Here is a 22,206-nt window from a genome sequence, read left to right on the forward strand (position 1 = left end):
CGCTCGGGACCTGCAGCCCGCCATGCCTGAGCCTCCCCGCTCCTCCGTGGGCTCCTGCCTCCCCCACGAGCGCTGCCCCCGGCTCCACGGCACCCAGTCCCATCGATCACCCAAGGGCTGAGGAGTGCTGGCGTGCACTGCTCGGGACTGGCAGGCAGCTCTACCTGCAGCCTCCGTGCGGGATCCACCTGGTGAAGCCAGCTGGGTGCTCCTGAGTCTGGTGGGGACTTGGAGAACCTTTACGTCTAGCTAAGGGATTGTAAATACACCAATCGGCACTCTGTATCTAGCTCAAGGTTTGTAAACACACCAATCAGCACCCTGTTTCTAGCTCAGGGTTTGTGAATGCACCAATCCACACTCTGTATCTAGCTACTCTGGTGGGGCCTTGGAGAACCTTTATGTCTAGCTCAGGGATTGTAAATACACCAATCGGCACTCTGTATCTAGCTCAAGGTTTGTAAACACACCAATCAGCACCCTGTTTCTAGCTTAGGGTTTGTGAATGCACCAATGGACACTCTGTATCTAGCTACTCTGGTGGGGAGGTGGAGAACCTTTGTGTCTAGCTCAGGGATTGTAAACGCACCAATCAGTGCCCTGTCAAAACAGACCACTGGGTTCTACCAATCAGCAGGATGTGGGTGGGGCCAGATAAGAGAATAAAAGCAGGCTGCCCCAGCCAGCAGTGGCAACTCGCTGGGGTCCCCTTCCACCCTTTGAAAACTTTGTTCTTTGGTTCTTTGCAATAAATGTTGCTGCTGCTCACTCTTCGGGTCTGCACTGGCTTTATGAGCTGTAACACTCACTGCGAAGGTCTGCAGCTTCACTCCTGGAGCCAGTGAGACCCCGAGCCCACCGGGAGGACCGAAGAACTTCAGATGCGCCGCGTTAAGAGCTGTAACACTCACCGCGAAGGTCTGCAGCTTCACTCCTGAGCCAGCGAGACCACGAACCCACCAGAAGGAAGAAACTCGGAACACATCCGAATATCAGTAGGAACAAACTCCGGACACGCCGCTTTTAAGAACTGTAACACTCACCTCGAGGGTCCGCGGCTTCATTCTTGAAGTCAGGGAGACCAAGAACCCCCCAATTCCGGACACAGGGGGACTTGGCTGCTTCCTGTTTCTATCATAGACGCAGCTGGCCTCAGAATATTCCACTTATGGATGAAAGAATGATAGTGTTATTTTATGGAAGAATTTAAGAAGATGTTGCGGTATCATCGACTTTGTAAGTGTGAAGTGTTTTTACTATTCCACTCACAATTCAGTTCAGGAAATATTTGATTTAGAAAGAGATTTACTACAATTTGCTGGGTTTTCCCAAATAACCCTCTTGACAATTATTAATATCTTAGGCTTAGCAACTCACTCAAATAGACTAAAATAGACTGAATATTTGCTTAGGCCTTCTTAACATATTTCAGACATATTTTTCTCTTCTTGGTCTTCCTCAGTAACATCTGGTGATCTCCAAATCAAGAGATAAGAGAAACCAAGCATGCCTGGAAGAGACGTTTCTTAAAGGTCACCTACAGATCAATACCCACAAAAAGCAAACCACAAATTAATGGAAAGGCATGACAGAAATCATTGCCTTTCTCATTAGGCCCTCTGCCAACTGCCTGTTACGTATTAGATCCACCCTGATTTATTCTAAGCCCTAGACTGCATAGGCTGGTGCTTATTGTCATGGTCATTATAAGCCATTATTATTCATTCCTAGAGTGCAAATGAGCTTCTTATCCTTTAATTCTTCCCTAGGAAAGCACCCCAAGGGAACCATAATTTGCAAAAAATTGGCCTCCTGATTTCTTTTTGCCTAATGAGTTTAATTTTCGGCTTTGAAAAGGAGAAAGCTAAAGGGACTTGAAACCTACAATGTTAATTCTAATTGATCACTTCAAAGACCTTTTACATTCATAGATGACTGAATCTCAGGTTCAGAAAGTGTCTTAACGGTCTTCTACTCAAGGCACACTAGACTCAGGAGACTGCTGTGAGAAAGAAAAAGAAATCTAGCTTATCTGTCTGTGGGAGATGCTAGAAACAGGGAAACATGAAGGCATAAATAAACAGAGATGTTCCAAGCCTTTTTGAGATCAATATATTTTACTCAGGAAATCTTTATAAAAATGCATTTCTTTGTAAAGATCCTGAAAGATTTATTTCTTGGGTATTACAAGTGAACTGGTTAGTGAAGTATTAAGAAATAGGTGATCCACAGCTTAATAGAAATATTGAACCTCCTAAAATGTCATAGAGAAAAACAGTTTAAGGTTAAGGGTGAAGTGACAGATGTTGCACTATGGCAACTTTGATTATAAAATTATTTATTTATGTTTTGTGAGATTTTCATTTGCCAAACTGCTGATTCTTGAAAACTGGCATAATTCCAATATTTTCCTTAAGAAACTGAAACCGTTTTTGTTCTTTTTCCCATCTTTGGAGGAAGTCCTCTTAAAATGTAGAATTCATATTAATGTAACAGTCTGCAATGTCTGCTCAATTCATCGTAGCCCTGTGATGAAATACTCCGGATGTATAGGAATTACCATCATTGACTTCTAGGTTTTATTTGACAGAAAATTCAAGGAGAAGCTGGAATACTTTGTCTCTTTAGCAGTTATATGCTTGGCCTTTCATAACTATGACTAATACATATACAGTCATGTGTTGCACAATGACATGCTGGTCAATGATGGGCTGTATAAACAATGGTGGTACCATAAGATTATAATGATGCCAAGAAATTCCTATTGCCTAGTGACGTTCCAGTGTTGAGAGAAAGAAGCCCCTTTCCAGACCCCAAAAGGGGATTCTTGGATCTTGTGCAAGAAAAGAATTAGGAGTGAGTTCACAGAGCAAAGTAAAAGCAAGTTTATTAAGAAAGCAAGGAATGAAAGAATAGCTACTCCATAGACAGAGCAGGGCATTCCCAGAAGCAAGAGGAGGAACACATCCACATTAGGTACAATGCTTGTTTGCACTAAGGTAAGAAAACAAAATATCGTGGAAGAGAGGTGCTCTGTTACAAGGGCTGTGACAAAAAGATTGTTAATCGGTGTATAACTACTGTCTTAATAGTCTATATTTTTATCTTTGAAGTGAAACTTATTCTTAAACTAAGAATGCTTTTGTTCTTAAGATACTGGGACATCAGGACATTTCCCGGGTCTGTTATTTCCTGCCAGACCCAGGACTTAACAGACCCAGGATATAACAGACCCAACTGTAGATATCCTGTGACTAAGAATGCCAACCTCCTGGGAAAGCAACCCAGTAGGTCTCAGCCTCATTTTACCCAGCCGCTTTTCAAGATGGAGTCACTGTGGTTTGAATGCCTCTGATAGTAGCATAACGCATTATTCATATGTCTGTGCTGATGCTGGTGTAAACAAACCTCCTGCACTGCCAGTTGTATAAAAGTAAAGCACATACATTATGTATAGTACATAATATTTGATAATGATAATAAACAACTGTTATTGGTTTCTGTAAGTACTGTAATTGTACTTGTTATTTTACAGTGTACTCCTATATATATATACATATATATATATGTAAATTAAATGTAAAGCAGCTTTAGGCAGGTCCTTCAGGAGGTATTCCAGAGGAAGCTATGGTTACAGGAGATGACAGCTCCATGCATGTTATTGCCCATGGAAATCTTCTAGTAGGACAAGATGTGGAGGTGGAAGATAGTGATATTGATGATCCTGATCCCGTGTAGCCCTAGGCTAATGTATGTGTTTGTGTCTTAGTTTTTAACAAAACATTTTAAAAAGTAAAAATTAAGAATTTTAAAAATAGGAAAAGCTTGTAGAATAAAGATGTAAAAAATTTTTTACAACCGTACAATGCATTTGTGTTTTAAGCTAAATGTTACTATGTGAGTCAAAAAAGTTTAAAAACTTAAGAAATTTATGAATAAAAAAGTTACAGTAAGTTAAGATTAATTATTATTAAAGAAAGAAAAATTTCTAAAAATAAGTTTGGTGTAACCAAAGTGTACAATATTTATAAAGTCTACAGTAGTTTAGAGTAATGGCCTAGGCCTTCACATTTATGCACCGCGCGCTCATTGATTCACCCAGAGTAACTTCCAGTCCTTCAAGCTCCATTCATAGTAAGTGCCCTGTATATGTGTACCATTTTTTATCTTTTGTATTGTATTTTTACTGTACTGTTTCTGTGTTTAGGAATGTCAGTACCCACCAGTGTATTACAACTGCCTGTAGTATTCAGTACAGTAACATGCTGTACAGGTTTGTAGCCTAGGAGCAATAGGCTATACCAACTAGCCTAGGTGTGTAGTAGGTTATACCATCAAGGTTGTATAAGTACACTCTAGGATGTTCACAAAATGACAAAAATGCCTAGCAACACATTTCTCAGAATGTTTCCCTGTTGTTAAGCGACTCATGACTGCATTTTAAATTTAGAGCATCTTTTCTGAAGAAAATGGTTTAGGAAATATATAGTCAGAATATGTCATTTTAGGGGACTGTTCTACCCCTAACAGTGTTTTAGGATTATCTTTAATCTTTTCCTGTGATCCAACCCCATATTTCTTCAATCAAACAAAATTATATCTAAACATACTATCTGTATATTTAGAGCTCTTGTCTTGCTTTGTTTAATTGCTTGTACATGAAAATGTCTTCATTTATTTTTTGTTTCAATAGCTTTCTAGTTTATTTTGTTTTAATAGACTTCTAGTTGATTAGCCAGTGCTTCAAGATAGCAAGGCTAGGTTTCTATACTGCCAGCTACAATTATTTGAATCTCTTCTACACTCTTTCTCATGGTTCTTTACATTGCAGTCTCAAATTTACCTGCAGATAACCACTTTATATCTCCATTTTTGACCTTCTTGTTTGTAATGGCTAATTTTATGTGTCAGCTTGACTGGGCCATGGGATGCCCAGATAGCTGGTTAAAGATTATTTCTGCATGTGTCTTTGAGGACATTTCTGGAAGAGGCTGGTGTTTGAATCAGTGGACTGAGTAAAGCAGATGTTCTCTCCCAGTGTGGGTGGGCATTATCAAAACCATTCAGGGCCTGAATAGAACAAAAAGGCAGAGGAAGTTTGAATTTGCTCTCTGCCTGACTCCTTGAGCTTGGAATGGATCTACTCCTCTCAGCACTCCTAGTTCTCAGCCTTCAGGCCCACGTTGGATTCTATACCATGGCCCTCCAGCTTTCAGGCCTTCCTTCAAAAAACACCACTGTCTTTCCTGCATCTCTTAGATTGTGGGATTTCTCCACCTCTATCATTGTGTGAGATAATACTTTAAAATAAAATCTCTTTATATATTGGTTCTGTTTCTCTGGGGAACCCTGAATAATACATTCTTTACCTCGTATTCATAGAGTAAAAGTTAAGTGTTCATCTACCTTTGGACTAATTTCTCATGTACAATTTCTATTAACTTACCATTAAGTGTTCCAATCCTAAGTGACTGAATTCTTTTCGCCAGATATATTCTGAGCCCATACTAGGTATGAAGCATCAGACTAGGCTCTGGTAGAAGATTTAATGGAGACAATGCCATTTAAACAGGTCTTCAGGGATGAGTAGAATTTGATGGCAGATTTTTTGCTGGGAAAGTTCCTTGGGTGAGGGTAACAATTAAAGCAAAGTCATGTCAGTGGAAAAGTCTTCAGACTATGTTGGGGAACAGCCAATAAACTAGACAAATGGGAGTACAGGATTTATGAAGGGGAATAATAAGTAAAAATACTGGAATAACAGGTTTAGGCCAGGTTGTGGAGTGTGTACGTGTGTGTATTTGTAATTTTTAAAAGCACATATAAGCAAAAACTAGTAAACAAATAAATGCAAAAATTAAAGGAATCTTTACTTATAAAAAGTTGCAAGCTTAATACATATAACTTTTATTTTCTTCAATCATTAGAAAGTAACTTGCAGACCTGATAGCCTATGATCACAAGTACTTTGTTATGCATTTCATATAAAAAAAGGACTTTCCCTTATACAACCATTCAATCATCCAAATATGGAAATAAATACCACTATTTAGCTAATCCTTAGACTTCATTCAGATTTTCCCAGTTATCCCAACAATGTACTATATAGTGAAAGGATGCTGCTTAAAATCAGATTCTTTTGGGTATTTCTGAGTATTTCAGACACTCACATGTTCTGAGTGTTTCAAGCTACCAAGAATTTTTTTCTATAAGGACACTGCTTGTACACCTATGGAGATAATAGCCCCATTTGGGGTCTGTGTGCAGTGGGCTAAGAAGGAATTGTTAGACTTGTTCCTGAGAGCCTCATTTTGGCTCAGATCACTCCAGCATTGTGTTCCCAGTATATCACAAAAATTTCTCTGTAAAATCAATGTTTTTTTTCTTGTAGGAATTTTATCTTAATAACTTTTATAGGAGACCATGAGGTCTCGACTAGACAACAAAGTGAGGACATTCTGAGTGGTATTTGGCATCTCTCCTCCGAAGCCAGGTAATGCAGTCTTTCTCAGGAGGCTGTCCAGGTGGGCTCTTGGTCAGCTCCATGGGTCTTCCAGATGAGTCCATGTGTCTAAACGCTCATGATGACAATGCAGAAAATCTCCACTCTTCTTCACTAGAGCACATTTGAATTGTCTGGAGAAAAGTTTTGAAATTTTAAGCTATCTGGCTTATAACTTGTATTTAACCCAAACTGTGGAATAGAAATACAGTCATGGAATTATGCTGAAGAAAAGAATGTAAGGAATGTTCTCTATTACCTTAATTCCCCTTACTCCAGGGTTCCACAGGCCTATGCAGGACTCAACCTTAGTGTTGATCTTGATTGGTCTGTGGTCTACCCACAAACAGATGTTCACCTGGCAGCAGACAACAGAGGTGGGGAACCTCCCACCATAACATCTACGTTTACTAAAGCAGGGTCCCATGAGGGCTTTTGTCAGGGCTGAAGTCATTCTGTGTAGTTTGGTTAGACTTCAGATCATTCAAGTTTTCTCTTTTAATTATAGGAATATTTTAATCATATTACAGTACATTTTTAGGTCAGAAAATGATTTTCATTTCATTGTCAAGGCAATTTGTGATAAAAATTGAAATAATGCCCAGCATGATTTAAAATTTTAACTCTTAAAATCTTTGAGTTCTAATAATACTGAGTTAAATAAATTTCAAAGCTGTGTGGGTCTCCATGTTGTGGATACACCTGGCTATGATATCTCTATTACTGTATTTTTCATGATCTTATATATTTCCTTACTTTCATCTGATTTGGGTGGAAGATGGAGCTAGAAGCATCAAAAGTTACATAGTGGAATTTTATCAGACTCTGTGGCTGTCTCCTCTTAGTGCCTCATTAGGGAAGATGTAGCTTTTTTGAAGCTGGCTGCAAAGCATCATGCCGATTCCCTGCTGGCATGGTTGGATCATGGCAAGGAGAGGAAGAAAAGCAAAGGAAAATTACTGGTGACCCAAAGCTGTTGTGACATTCAGGGAAAAAAAGAAAATTGTCCCAATGGGACCTTTGTAACTGAACTCCAAGGTTTGTAGACTTATGTTTCAATAACATTGGATTCACCTTTCAAAGTATATTGTTATTTTAAAAACACAAATGTGAAACATAAGCCTCTACATATGTTTATAAAACATATAAACACTAATATAGAAAAGAGGAATGAGAATATTTCCATTTTATCTATGTTGCAAGTGGGAGAGGTGCTTCATTGGGATTTATAAAGGGAAGTTTAAAGAGTAGATTTTCCAGTGTTGCTTGCCAGGCTCTTCTTTCAGGAAACGTCCTTCCGTCATCTCAAACAAGAGTTCCCTGTTCCCAACCTTTGACATTTACTGGTAGAATGTTTGGTCATCACAGTAGAACACAATGTTTACTTTGTTAAAAGGAAATTTATCACTTATTTTATTAGTTTTGGATGACGCTTGTGGATAAAGGGCAATTCCTTATAAAAGTGATAACAATGTAATTCCATAGGTGTATAGTAATGGTTTGATCTTTAAAATGCATGCTAAATTGTTTTACTAAATTCTATTGAATTCTTTTTTTAATTTTTTTTCGTGTGTGTGTGTGTATGGAGACGGGGTCTCGCTATGTTGCCAGAGCTGTTCTCAAACTCCTGAGCTCAAGCGATCCTCCTGCCTTGGCCTCCCAAAGTGCTGGGATTGCAGGCATGAGCCACCATGCCCAGTTGACTTATTTTTTTTTTTAAGTCATACCAAAAAGGAAAAATCACATGTTAAATAGAGTGAAATCTATTATAGCAGACATTCGTATTACTTAAGTTCTAGTTGGGCCATAGAATTCTTTCCCTGCACATCACTTGATATAGCAAAGTAGGAGATACTTGATATCTCATATCTTACATGGTTTCTAGTCCATCAGAATATCACCATGTCGTTTTCAAATGGTATCTCCAAGAGGCATATTTCTGCTTGGTATTATTGAATGTCCCTGGGGTTAAAAATTTAGGTATAGTGAATTAAAGCTTCTCTAAGTCAGATTTCCATTTCCTGTGAAATAAAGATAATAATTGTTAGGTCCACTCCAGAGATTTGTAGTGATGGTCAGATGAGAAAATGTCTACAACATTAATTTATAAATGTGTTAGCATTATACAAATTTGCAGGATTGTTATTATTACTATTTAGATTCATAATTACTTGGTTTCTTTTTTCTATAAAAATGAAAACTAGACAAAACCAGTAATTTAGTATCTGTGCATTAAGTTAGTCACAAATTTGGCACAGTCCCTCTTTCGTGTTCACAGTCCATGCATGCAAGGATGACCAATGGTAGTGCTTGGATGCGGCCATATTGGGTGTTAAGAAAGGCAGCAAAGAAGTAGCTAGTTCTTCAGGTCACATCCCTTAGCTGGCAAGTAATAGCATTATGTGCATCTTTCCCATAGAAATTGAAACTGGGTTTTTAGAAAATATGGGACATGAAGTTTTATTTTGGAAGAGACATTTTTATTCTAGAGAAAGCCTATGCATGTTACATTATTCCATTTCCCTTTACTTTCTTCATTTTAGGGGAAAATCTGTCAAATGAATTCTAAGTATACTAGGTAGATTTTGAACTTTCTTTTTGAGTCCTTAAACCTTGATAGCTCTGTTAGCAACTAACTTTAAGACTTTCAGACTTTTTTAGTCTTAAAGTCATTCAATGAGAAGGACATCTCAAAAAGCAGCTTTGGAAGATGTTAACATATATCTCTGCTGGTAGAAGCAAATAATTCAAGACTGAAAATGTACCTCCCTACTCAATCTTTAAGGAAGCCAATCCCATTCCTGTGTAATTTACTTATATCTTTGGAGTATTTATTATTTCTCTGCTGGCTACCTGTGGAAGGAGCAACAGGGGAGCATGAGAGAAATATATAGCATACTTTAGATCTCAAGGGACTGAGAGTTTTAGTATTTTTCAAGATGTATATTAGCAGTGTGAAACAGAGGACCATAGAAAGTGATATGTAACAAAATATTTAATTGAGTGTTTTAAAGGAAAACCAGAGCTGGATAGTAAAGGAGTTCATTTGGGAACTGTTGAGACTTCAGTGTCGAACTGGGCTCAATTCTGAAAACAGCATGGGCAAGAGGGGATTTATAGTTAAGGATCAGGTTGGGGGTCAATGGATGAAAAATTACAAAGAGGAAACATCAGAAGTTGGGGATTCTGATTAAACAAACCTAACAGGATTCTCACCAGAGGGAGGCAAGGGTGATCAGATCTGGAAGGTGTGTGAAGGATGAGGAACTTGATCAGATACCAAGGGTGATCAGGCCAGGGGTGGTGGTTCAGGTCTGTAATCCATTACTTTGGGAGGCAGAGGCGGGTGGATCACCTGAGGTCAGGAGTTCAAGACAAGCCTGACTAAGATGGTGAAACCCCATCTGTACTAAAAATACAAAAACTAGCCAGGTGTGGTAGTGCGTGCCTCTACTCCCAGCTACTCAGGAGGCTGAGGCAGGAGAATCGCTTGAATCCAGGAGTCAGAGGTTGCAGTGAGCTCAGATCACAGCACTGTGCTCCAGCCTGAGCAACAGAGTGAGACTCTGTCTCAAAAGAAAAAAAAAAAAAGAAGAAAGATACTGAGGGTGATCAGATATTAAGGATGGGGGATGCTTGCTAAACTGACTTAGGACTTCTGCTAAAATAGCACAATGCAGAGACAGAAAATTCCACAGGTTGAAACTTAGTTGGGTATAGGGTTCAGAGGAGACTGACTAAAGTTTGGACAAGGAGCATATCTTGTCAATACAACCAGGTGCTGATTTGTAACTTATATGCAATTTGTAATAGAACAGCTGCCTATGTAGGGGCTGTTTTGATCTAAATTATACAATAATTGAAACTTGATTCAATTGGTGACCTTCCCTACTATCAATATTTTACATAAATACTTTTTTTCTGTTCCATCACTACTCTTCACTCTTACTTGGGTTTTTAAATGACCAGAATGAGCCATACAATAATACTGATATAATTGCTAACACTTTGCTCTCACCACCACCTCCTCATCCTTCTCTCTTCCTGTACCTCCTTTTCCTCCTTTTTTGATAGACTTTTTTTTTTCAGTCTTATAACATCAAAATTGGAAAATAGGAAACTGAAAACCTTTACACACTTAAGTCAATTCCTAGAATTTTAATAAAGTGATAGTTCTGGATGTTTCTAAAACTATTCAGTGAAATACAAAAATGCTACTGCTGAGATTTTGTTTTCATTAAATCTTTTCTGAAATTGCTTATATTACGTGAACAAATAAAATTGTCCTACTGTATGATAAAGGCAAAGTAATACTGGCAGAATTGCAGGCTTGTGAGTCCAATTTTTAAATTAGACAAGAGGAAAAAAGCTTCCTGAATTTGCAATGAATGTATATCATTATTCTTCATGTTCCATTTCTTTCTTCATTTATCCTAGTACCTCTTGAGAATCTTCAGATTCTTGCTTTTCTTTTTTTCTTACTGTAAAACAGCATGTCCCATATTTCAAAGAGGCTTTTTGTAGGATAATTTAAAACTTATTTTTTTCCAAGGGGATGGTGAATCCATTTGTGCTTTCTCTATTCAGTTTATCTCTTGTTTACAGGTTTATGGAAAATGAGATTATCACAATTTATATTATAGTTTCCTTAGATGACCAGCAGAAGTTCTTTACTGACTTAGTAATGGCAAATGGACAGGTTGAGCTGAACCAACAGTTGGGAGAAACCAAACAGTTTCTAGGTCATTCTTGATTTATGGATTAGGTTGTAAAATGACTAAGCTTTACATTTTAATACGTGTGTATAATATTAATTTCACAATGAAAAATTTTCAGGATTTTTGTGAATTACTTAAAATTAATCTTCCTAATTAATTTACATAATATGATTTTCTAAAGAGTAACAATCAGAAGAGGCTAAGAATTTCATACTTTTATAGGCGAGTGGAAGAGATAGCCTTTCCTCCATTTATTTACATCATATTATCATTTACTTGGAAAGGACAAGATCTTGACTTTCTGCATTCAGGGCTTATTTCTTCTAATAAACTTCCTAAAGATCAACTCCTAATTTTTTAGGGACTGTAATTTATATCACAGAATTAGCATTTTTTCAGATAGTTTCTTGTTTTCTAATTTTACTATATAATTGGCTGAATCATATAATAAATGCTGTGATTACCACACTTGGTCTTAGCCAAAAGGCCAAGAAGCGATATGATTACTAATTCTGTAAAACTGTTAATGCCTTCATGAATTATTTCATCTTTGATGTATGCTTATGTTTCTACCATGTTTAAAATTTCCTATTTGTTTCTTTGTTGTGTGTTGAGACAGTAACAATTAAGTACTAAAAAAACTTATGGATTAGTAAGCTATGAATCTACCTAGTGTGAAAATGACAGAGTCACTATACTTTTAGAAATAATAATAGCACTAGGTTCCAGATTCTGTAAGGGCAGGGAAAATGTCTACTGTATTTGCATTTGTTCTTAAACCCTTTAAGAAACCCTTAAGAAAGGTTTTCAGAACTCAAAGCGTTTTTGTTTAAAGGACTTTATTAATCAATGTAACCTTGTCTACACTGTTACTTCAGAATTCAGAATATTAAAGGAATAAGTAATTTAAAAACTACTAGTATTTCTTAATTAAATTTGATATTTTAGTGGACATCAAAAGCTTTTTGCATAATATTTTCTTGGGAAATATCGTATCCACAAACAAAAACATATGTACAGGTATCAGTCACATTTGCCTAGGAACATCAATGAGGCTGGCATTCTAGGTTTGTTTTGTCTTATGTTGAAATCAGCATTAATCTCTTTTTTTGAAGTTACTATTTTTGAGTAAAGAATTTAGAAATTAATTAAAATAGGTATGTGTTTGAACTACTAGAGCAACATTGTGATTTTATGGGGAAAATACCATTAAATTAAGTGAAGGGACCTTGCTTTTCCGGATACTTCACACTGTCTGTTTAATGAATAACCCATTCAGATTTAATTTATACCTGCTGTGTTGTGGTATAACAATGAACCATTATATCTCCAAAGCATGAAGTTAATGAAATAATACCTATCTGGAGTTGGATATTACACACACACAGATTCTTTCTCTTGTTTAAAGCTAATTAACATGAAAGACAATTTGACCACTTTAAATGAAAAAAGAAGAAAATGAGAATGATGTGTCCACAGTGAGGCAGGCAATGGAAAGTTTAGCTATGAAAGAAAAGTTGAACAAGTACAAGCCACATACACTTTTCAAATTATTCTAGCTTTGAGAAAAGAAATATCTTTTCAGAGAATCTTTAAACTATGTAGTATCAGCTTAAACGATCTGTTATTCATATAGGTTCAACCTAATTCTCTACTACATCATGTATATGAAACCTATTATATTATTAGTATAGTAAGTGTGGGAAGAAATCTATGAAGAAAGTGAAGCAAGTGATTAAAACAATGTTTAAATGTGTATGAACACTTCTCAAAGAAGCTGTCCATAGCTGGGTGGTAGTAGGGGCCTTATTTGGATAGCATCCTTGGAAAGGTGGAGATTGAGAAACAGTCACAGAAGTTTTATTTCTATGAGTCCTTTATTTTGGAACTGATAAGACTCTTCCTAATGAAGAGTTAAGACAGAGCTTCCTCAGCCTCTGAAATCTGGAACACCTCAACAGTCATGCGGAGACAAGAGATTACCCCAAAATGTTTCACATTCTTTCACAGAAAGAAGCTAAAACTAAGAATGAAAATCCTGGGCCGGGCGCGGTGGCTCACGCCTGTAATCCCCGCACTTGGGGAGGCCAAGGCGGGTGGATCACGAGGTCAGGAGATCGAGACCATCCTGGCTAACACGGTGAAACCCCGTCTCTACTAAAAAAAAATATAAAAAATTAGCTGGGCGTAGTGGCGGACTCCTGTAGTCCCAGCTACTCAGGAGGCTGAGGCAGGAGAATGGCGTGAACCCGGGAGGCGGAGCTTGCAGTGACCCGAGATCGCGCCACTGCACTCTAGCCTGGGCGACAGAGCGAGACTCCATCTCAAAAGAAATAGAAAATCTTTTGGGAAGTCCAGAGAGTTGTAACCTCCCATAGTGGGGAACAAAAATGTCACCTGGGAGCCAATGTTAATGCTAGATTTCTGCACCCTACTGCAGAGATTCTAACTCAGTAGTTCTAGGCCAGGAATTGATATGTCAAGGGGTTCTGACATATCAATTCACTACTCTGAGAAACTCTGACCTAGAAACAAAACTGAGGTGGTCAAAATAACTTTGCATACTATCCAACCCTGATCAAAATTTATAAACTTTATGATGGAAAAATGTTGTTCTCCAAATTCTGTTGCTCCCGCTCCAAATGACAGAATTAAGAGAAGCTAGTGATAGCAGCGGTATGGAAGTGGTAAATGAGGCTATAAGACTACATCTGGAGATAAAGCATATGGCAGTTGAAGAGTGGGAAACACCATCATGAATTCACAGAAAAGTCAGGGTACCTGGTAGATTAGGGCTCTAATAATAAATGTTAGGTGGGTACTTGGCGCAAAATATTTGAAGTTTTTACCCTATTGCATAGTGGTCTCAGGTTTGATATGGCCTACAGAAAATTTACCTTTGAAAGCACTTGAAGGATATGATATTTTGTTTGTTTTAGGAAATGGAAGTTAGTGTATGTAGAAAGCCTTCTTGAATTGTCACAAAGAAGTGGAACTATATTAAATTCTATGCACAACATTTTCATAGTATGACCTTGGCTGCTTCTCTCTAAAATGCACTTAATTCACAAGTTTAAAAATATTACCTGCATATCATTTGTCAAATAAATCTTCTTACTTTGACATTATCATCCCATATACTTTCATAATGTTGCCTTTTATTTTTTTAATATGCAATATACTTTTTATTTTGAAATAGATTCGTAGAAAAGTTTTAAAGATAGAATGGGGAGTCCCATATACGTCTCACCCAGTTTCTCCTATTGTTAACATCTTATACGATCAGGGCACATTTGCCAAAACTAAGAAACCACTGGTACATTACTGTTACTTCAAGGTAATAGTACTAGTTTTTTTCACCAATTATTTTCTGATCTAAGACCCAATCCAGGATACCTAGATAGTATTTGATGATGATGTCAATTGTTTGGAAGCAACTCCTAAATCCATTCCACACTAAAGGGATCAATCGGGAATTAAGCTCCACCTTTTGGAGGGGAGAGTAACTACATAAATTATTTAGAATTCTTCTTTAAGAAAGATTTGTCTCTTCTGCCCCCATTTGTTTATTTATTCAGTCATTTATTTACATCAGTATGGACTCATGGGTATTTACTTTGTACTTTGGATTATAATCTAGTACTGAGTTAATTACGTTGTTGTTCAAATTGTTCCAGTTTTAATCATTGTGACCTCTTTTAGGTTGGCTTTTGGGTCCTTTGACATGCCCCATTACTTCCTACTTTCTGGCACTACAAGATGTTTCAGGCTCATGTTGTATTTGCCTGCCCCATTCATAGGATCAGTTGCCTTTGGTTTTTAGCCTCAAAGAAGACAGAAAGTAAATGTATTTGGTTTCCTATGGACAATACCTTGTGTAATATTATGAATGCTTATGGTGATACTTACGTTTATAAGGCCAAGAACAAAATAGGATCTAATTAGGTTCATTTCCTATTAGGACAATATGAAACAAATACTCCTATCTGGCCTGAAGGCATTACTAGGAAAGTGATAAAGGTGACACTTTAGAATGGATTTTACCTTTTCTTTGTCATTTCTCATCAATATGTAGAAACAGTTTTGAGAGAACACTGTGGAGAAGGGTGGCTGTTTCACCACTTAGCACACACAAACTTAGGCATGGCCTTGTTCTTTGCTCTTTTCAGCCACCTTAGTTTCCAGAGTAAATAACATTGGCCCCAGACTTAAAGCAGTGAAGAATTATCTTCGTCAACAGATAAAGATGAATAGTTTATTGCCTTTTTCTTACTCCTTCCCATCTCTCCCTCTATTGCTTGATTAACATGTACTAAAAATTCTGGTGCTCCTATTATTTTAACCAACAAATGCATGGATTATCTTCTTATATCCATCTTTTTTATATTCTTTATTATCTTTTTCACTGTTGTTGTATCCAAAACAATGAGATTAGTCCAAAAATTCTTTCTATCCTCTGGTACAGCTGGAAATTAGCTTGCTAGCTGTTTGCCTCCTTTTTCCTTCTTAATGAATAGAGGATGTACTGTCCAACAGGTAATGACTATACAGTGCAGGTTCGAGGGTGATGGTCCATTTAGAAGGCAGCTTACAGTTTTATTATAAATATAAATAGTTATTAGGAAAAACAAGCAAATGAACAAATGAGATAAAACATCTCTGAATGTGTCTCCTAAATGATCATACAACAAAGGCCTGCCCACAAAAGAAGGAATTTATACTGGAAAATTCACAGGGATTAGTAGTTTTATGCACATGTGTAGAAAGACATATCATCATCAAATTACATTCATGAAGCAAAAGTTCTGGATCTCCCCGAAGTGGAGCTCCTGAAATATTTAATTCTAATGCACAGTACTTGAAAGTGTCAGATACTTTTCCCCTAAAGCTTTGGTGTTGTCTAACCTTCTTTCAGTTATCTTGATTATTTTTTTGAATTTAGGCATAATTAGGTGGTTATACTAGACTGCAAGGTCTTTTTCAAATTATTGGAAAACCCAAACACAAAGAACAGATTGTCATTACTTTGATGCTGGTAAAAGTGGGTTTTAGTACTTAGAGAAATGGATTTTGTTTTGCTAAAAAGTCACTGGGGACACATGTCAGCAAAAAGAAAAGGAAACACATGCTGACTGTTTCCCCAGACAAGTGGTTTTCAAACTGGTACACATTAGAATCACTGGAGAGGTATGAAAAACTTCTGATGCCGGGGTAACAATATCTGCAGTGGGGTCCAGGCACTGGCATCTTTTAAGGCTTCCCAGGTGATTATAATGTGCATTCCATGTAATAAAACAATAATTTTCATATTTTAGTAAACATTTAAAATATCTGTATCATTTGTTAACAATACAGATTCTTGGGGCCAGCTCCAGTGTTCTCATTTCTTGATTAGGTGTGGAGTCCAGAAATCTATGTTTTAAAGGAATAAATCTTTAGGTGCTTGGTTCTTTGCATGATACTTTAGTCTTACTCCATAACTGCTTGTGATGCCAAAAAAGGCTCTGGCAGCAGCCCACCCCAGATTTGTACTGCTGCCTGGAGCTGGCCAAAGCTCTATGGAACTGTTTGGTTTTCTTTGCAAGCCCGGGATCTCTTTATTTCATGTACGTTGGCCACATATGCCTTTTCTCATCAGCTGTCTAGATACCTCATCGTTGAACATTCAGCTCCTATATTACCTAGCTTTAGAATTTCTGTATTGTTCAGGCTCCCCCTCTTCCTGTTCCTGTTCCCCTACAGCAATTGTAGCAATTATCTTACTGTTTTGTGAACCTTAGTATTCTTATCTGTGTCTTCTGTAAGACTTTACATTCCTTGAGATGACTAACCATGACTTGCTGATTGTAGTTGTAGTGCCTGCCTCAATTCCTTATAAATTGGCACCCCAAAACTTCAAGTCTGATAGGTAAAACATTATAAGAAATTGTACTGTGAGACATTCTAGCTCAAGGATAAATACAATACTCCATGAAAATACAGATATTTTTGTTCACCTACAAATTTAATTTATTCGTGACATTTCTTCTCTTTCCCCATAATTAGCATAAATAATTCAGAGGAGGCTATATTCTGTTTAACTGTGAATAAGAAGTTCACATGCTGTTGACTCAATATTCTAAGCTATTGGAGAGGAACAAAACTAGATAATCCAAAAATCACTTATATTTATGTTTGGAGTACATTTTGGCATTTCTTTTGGAATAAATGTGGTCGATGCTCTAGGAATTCCCAGTATTTCATACAAAAGATTGAAGGCACATCTGTAAGACCTGATTCTTCAGAAGCTAAAAGCTGTTCTCTGCTATTTAGCTCCTCCACAAGCTACTCATATGCCCCGCTTTTCCAAGGACTCCTCTGGGAATAAGAGAATAATATTGAAATTAAAAGGAACAAAAAGGGATTGGCATGTGTCATGTGCTGTGTGTTTTAATCTAGGACCCTTTCCCCTCGAATAGAGTGCTTTCTTATTTCTGACCCCAGGTAAAAGAACATTCTGTTTATGATAACAAAAGAGATAGTCAAGCAAAATAAGTTGTATTCATAAAATCTTGAAATCAATATAAAAGAATCAGGGGTAACTTCTAAGGATGATAAATTAGATTTATGTTTTCTCCACCATAAATATTGAGCCATTTGTAGTGGAACCTCCTTTTTTTCAGAAAGATTTTTAAGAACTCTAAAAATAGGAAAATTTAACTTTCTTCAAAGTAAACACTCTCAGTAGGAAAACACACTGAAAATTTACAAAATTCAGATTAGAATAAGTCATGATTTTTTTTAGAAGCATAAAATATGCTCATGGATATGTAAATGTGGTGGATTCTTTCCTATCATCTTCTATCTCTTTACGTGATATATTCCTTAGTATTGATAAAGTTTACAAAGCAGTCATTAAAATATTCTCTTTAAATCTCTGACTTTACTTGTTGATTTGACTGGTTGCTTCTCCAGTATTTGCTGTTTTCCTTCCCCACTGGGCAAAGCCAGGGGATCTGAGTAGGCAGAAGCTGAAGAGCACATTTATATTCTCTTTCTGACTGAGATTGGTTCAAGGATAAGAACTTGGCACAGGTTTGTCCACTCAGAGTAAAGCCCAAAACTTTTAGCCAATAGTTAGGGTGGCAAACATCTTCCTTTGGGACTGGAAGGAAGAGCATACATTACTCAAATTGCAGCTGATAATCGTTTTGTCACCAAGAGAAGACTTAGTCTTGGGATAAAGCTGACAGGGTCTTGGTGAAATGATTTAGTTATCAAATCAAATCACATCTGATTTGAGCCATTTCCTCCTATAGACTTTTGAGCTATTTTAACTCATTAATCATCTTATTGTGTACAACAATGTGAGCTGGATTTTCTGTTATTTGCAATGAAAAGACTATCATTTGCAACTTAGCAGATGATATGGTTTGGCTGTGTCACCACCTAAATCTCATCTTGAATTGTAACTCCCACAATTCCCACATATTGTGGGAGGGACCCAGTGGGAGGTAGTTAAATCATGGGGGCGGATCTCTCTCATTGTTCTTGCAATGGTGAGTGGGTCTCATGAGATCTGATGGTTTTAAAAAGGAGTTCCCCTGCACAAATTCTCTCTCTCTTTCTCTTTGCCTGCTGCCATCCATGTAAGATGTGACTTGCTCCTCCTTGCTTTCCGCCATGATTCTGAGACCTCCCCAGCCACATGGAACTTTAAGTCCATTAAATCTCTTTTTCTTCCCAGTCTTGGGTATGTCTTCATCAGCAGCCTGAAAACGGACTAATACAGTAGACTTGAGTACCTATGGCTGACATGTTTTTTCAAATGAAAGAGTAACAAATTGGTAATGTCAATATGTTACAGGAAAAAACAAAAACAAAACAGAACAAAAAACCAACAGCCTCCCAATAAAATATAATAGAATTTACATCTGTGGCATCATGTGTTTGAACCAGCCCTTATAAATGGAAACTAGTTTTTCTTGTTGCATTTTGCATTTCCTTCCCAATCATGACAGAATAAGAAAGTGTCACACAAAACTTGGATGGCCTATTTGGATGGGTAATTTTTAGATGATTTAGTTCTATCCCTTCATTTTATAGATGAAGAAACCAAACCTCAGTGAGATTGAATTGGACAAGAGCTGAGACAGATGTATCCATCTGACTTCTGATGTACCCTCTTTCCACTGTAGTATGAGGTCTACAGAAAGAAATTTAGAAACCAATGGCTGAATGAGGTAGATTGAAATATTGTTTTGTTCCCTTCCCTATAAGGGGATTATATCTCTTTGTCCTTGCCATGTCACTTTCAGTATCTCCCTCTACTTTCTCACTTTCAGCCCTAGGCTTGATCATGTGACTTCCTGAGGTAAATGTGAGTAGATGTGACAGAATTATGAAATGTAACTGTGTGAGGCATCCTGCTCTCATGCTATTATGACAAGTCCCAGATGGTGGCTGTTCTTTCGTCCTGGTCTTTGAATGAGAAAACCCATGGAGCAGTGCCTCCACCTGTAGCAGAACCGCAGCTGCATTTAACATGAATGGGCATGAAAAATGTATTGTAGGAAACCATTGAAACTTGAGAGGGTTTGTTACTGCAGCAAAGCTGATGAATACTATGAAAATCAGGAGTAATTATCCCATGTGGTATGAAGTAAGAAAGGAAGACATTGCTATGCATTTAGAACATACCCCTTGCTTTTCTTGGCACTTTGTCCATGGACATGATTGGTAATGCTTTTTCCTCCCAGAGTATTGCGAAAGGACAAAATACTTGTTGGTTTCATTCTTATGCCAATAACGTCTTACAGAAACTCGGTTCACTTACTTCATTATTTTATGTTAATTGTGAGGAAGGAGAAGAAATGGGATAAACAAATAAAGTTTACAGAAAAATAACAATATCTATATTAATATGGCAACTGAAGTCTAACCTGTGGCAGGGCATCAAGCTAATATATTACATATTTTCAAGTGTATCTTGCACTTGACTGTGAGCATTTAAGGAAGGCACTATACCTGCCTGGAAGAGCTAGGGAACTTCCCAGAGGGGTGATATAATTTGAATATTTGTCCTCTCCAAATCTCATGTTGAAATGTAATCCCCAGTGTTGGAGGTGGGGCCTGGTTGAAGATGTTTGGCTCATGGGGATGGACCCCTCATAAATGGTCTTGGTGCCCTCTCTGCAATAATGAGTTTATGTGAGATCTGGTTGTTTAGAGGAGGCTGGCACCTCTGCCACTCTCCCGTGCTGCCTCTTTTGCCATGTGATACATCAGCTCCCCCTTCACCTTCGGCCATAATTGTAAGCTTCCGGATGCCTCACCAGCAGCTGAGCAGATGCTGGCACCATGCCTGCACAGTCCACAGAACCATGAGCAAAATAAATCCTTATTTATAAATTATCCAGTCTCAAGTATTCCTTTATAGCAATGCAGAACAGACTAATACAGAAAATAAGAGTGTAATAGGTAATCCAAATGTCAAAAGATGTTAGGAAGTTATAAAGATGGGCTGAAGGGAGGTAACTTCCAGAGGGACCACTATATGCAAGGACAACGAGTCACCAAGAAGAAGTCACTTGTAGCTAACACAGAGGGCAAACGTGAGGAAGGAGCAGGTATGGGCCCAGCCACGGCTGACTCTGCTTATCATCCTGAGGGTCTGGCCCTCATGCTGTGCATAATAAAATGTCACTGAAGGAATACCATCAAGGTACTGCCATGGTCAGAATGTAGTTTTACAAATATTTCTTTATTCAGGGGAGAAGGAAGAAAATGAAACCTGGTAACACTGATATGGAGACTCGATAACAGCTATTTGTATTAGCGTGGATAAGAAATGTGAAGATCCTGCATTAAAGCAATGGCTGTGGGATAGATGAATTATTTAGATTTGTTATAAGGTGCACTCCACTGAATTTTGTGAGGGTTGTTTTAGAATAAGTCACTTTACCTAGGCAGATACATATATAGGAAAGTTTTGTCAGATATCTTAATAGGAAAAAAAGGGGAAACAGCCTAATGTAATGATTTTGGATTTGAGGCTAGGAGGGAGTAACATTTACTATCTCTCTGGTATTAATTATCAATCCTTTCTAAGTCTCAGTCTTCTTACCTGTATCTTGCGTATAATAAAGTACCTTTCTTGTAGGATTATAGTGACAATGAAATGAGATGGAGTTGGGGTTCAAGCAGGCTGGTGGGAAAAATATTAAAGATAGTTATATAACAGCCAAAAACTCTCTTGGGAAGCCCGAGAGTTTGCATAGCTTCAGATTGCTTGGCTGAAGGCAGCCAGGGTCTCTTTGCAGGAGTCGGAAAGATTAGGGTGCAAGTACAAAGGAATGTGGGAAGTTTATCTTACTAACCTGCTTACTTATACAGGTTTAAGACTAACCTTTCAAACTACCCCTACCTGTGGGTACTTGACGGCCTCCTACTGGGGGGCAGCAGTCTGCAGAAGTTTATCACCCGCAAATGGTGTTTGCTTTAGGCTCCGAACCTGGCCTTTAATCTTTACCCTCTAGTGGTGTTTACTCACAATTTTGTTAATTAGTCTTACTGAATAAATGCGAGCCTGACTAGCAGATGAGGGCTGAGTCACAACTGTTTACAGAACTCAGCTTGGAACCTGTAAGCTGCTCGGACCCTCAGCTGGACTGGCAGAGCAGAATATCTGTGTGTCAGTGTACTTTCTTCATCCATCGCCGAATCAGGGGTCTGCAGGAACAGACCCCCCTGCAGCTAGTGCCCCCGTGAAAAGAGCGCTGCCTCAAGATGGGACATGAAAATATTTAACCATTGACTCTGCCTAAAGGATGAATAATTTTTTGGTCATGTCTTTTTTTCCCCTGATTCTTATTAGTTCTGTAACATCAGTTGGGATAGACAATATGGAAGATTTCAGGTGAAAAAAGAAGAGGTAGACAAGTTTGATTGGAATATCTAGAATCTGATTGTCCTGTAAGATATCCAGATGGAATTATCTAAACAGGT

At 37.7% G+C, this 22,206-nt stretch overlaps 1 annotated feature.

Moving 5' to 3' along the window:
- Positions 21,400-21,901: an enhancer, noted in NCBI's record as "NANOG hESC enhancer chr4:90432809-90433310 (GRCh37/hg19 assembly coordinates)". NCBI's record gives its function as "activates a minimal SCP1, AML or CMV promoter by ChIP-STARR-seq in naive H9 embryonic stem cells {active_cell/tissue: H9 hESC(naive)}" and the evidence as "EXISTENCE:reporter gene assay evidence [ECO:0000049][PMID:30033119]".

The sequence above is a fragment of the Homo sapiens genome, chromosome 4 (assembly GCF_000001405.40).
Source record: "Homo sapiens chromosome 4, GRCh38.p14 Primary Assembly".
In the NCBI taxonomy this organism is placed as follows: Eukaryota; Metazoa; Chordata; class Mammalia; order Primates; family Hominidae; genus Homo; species Homo sapiens.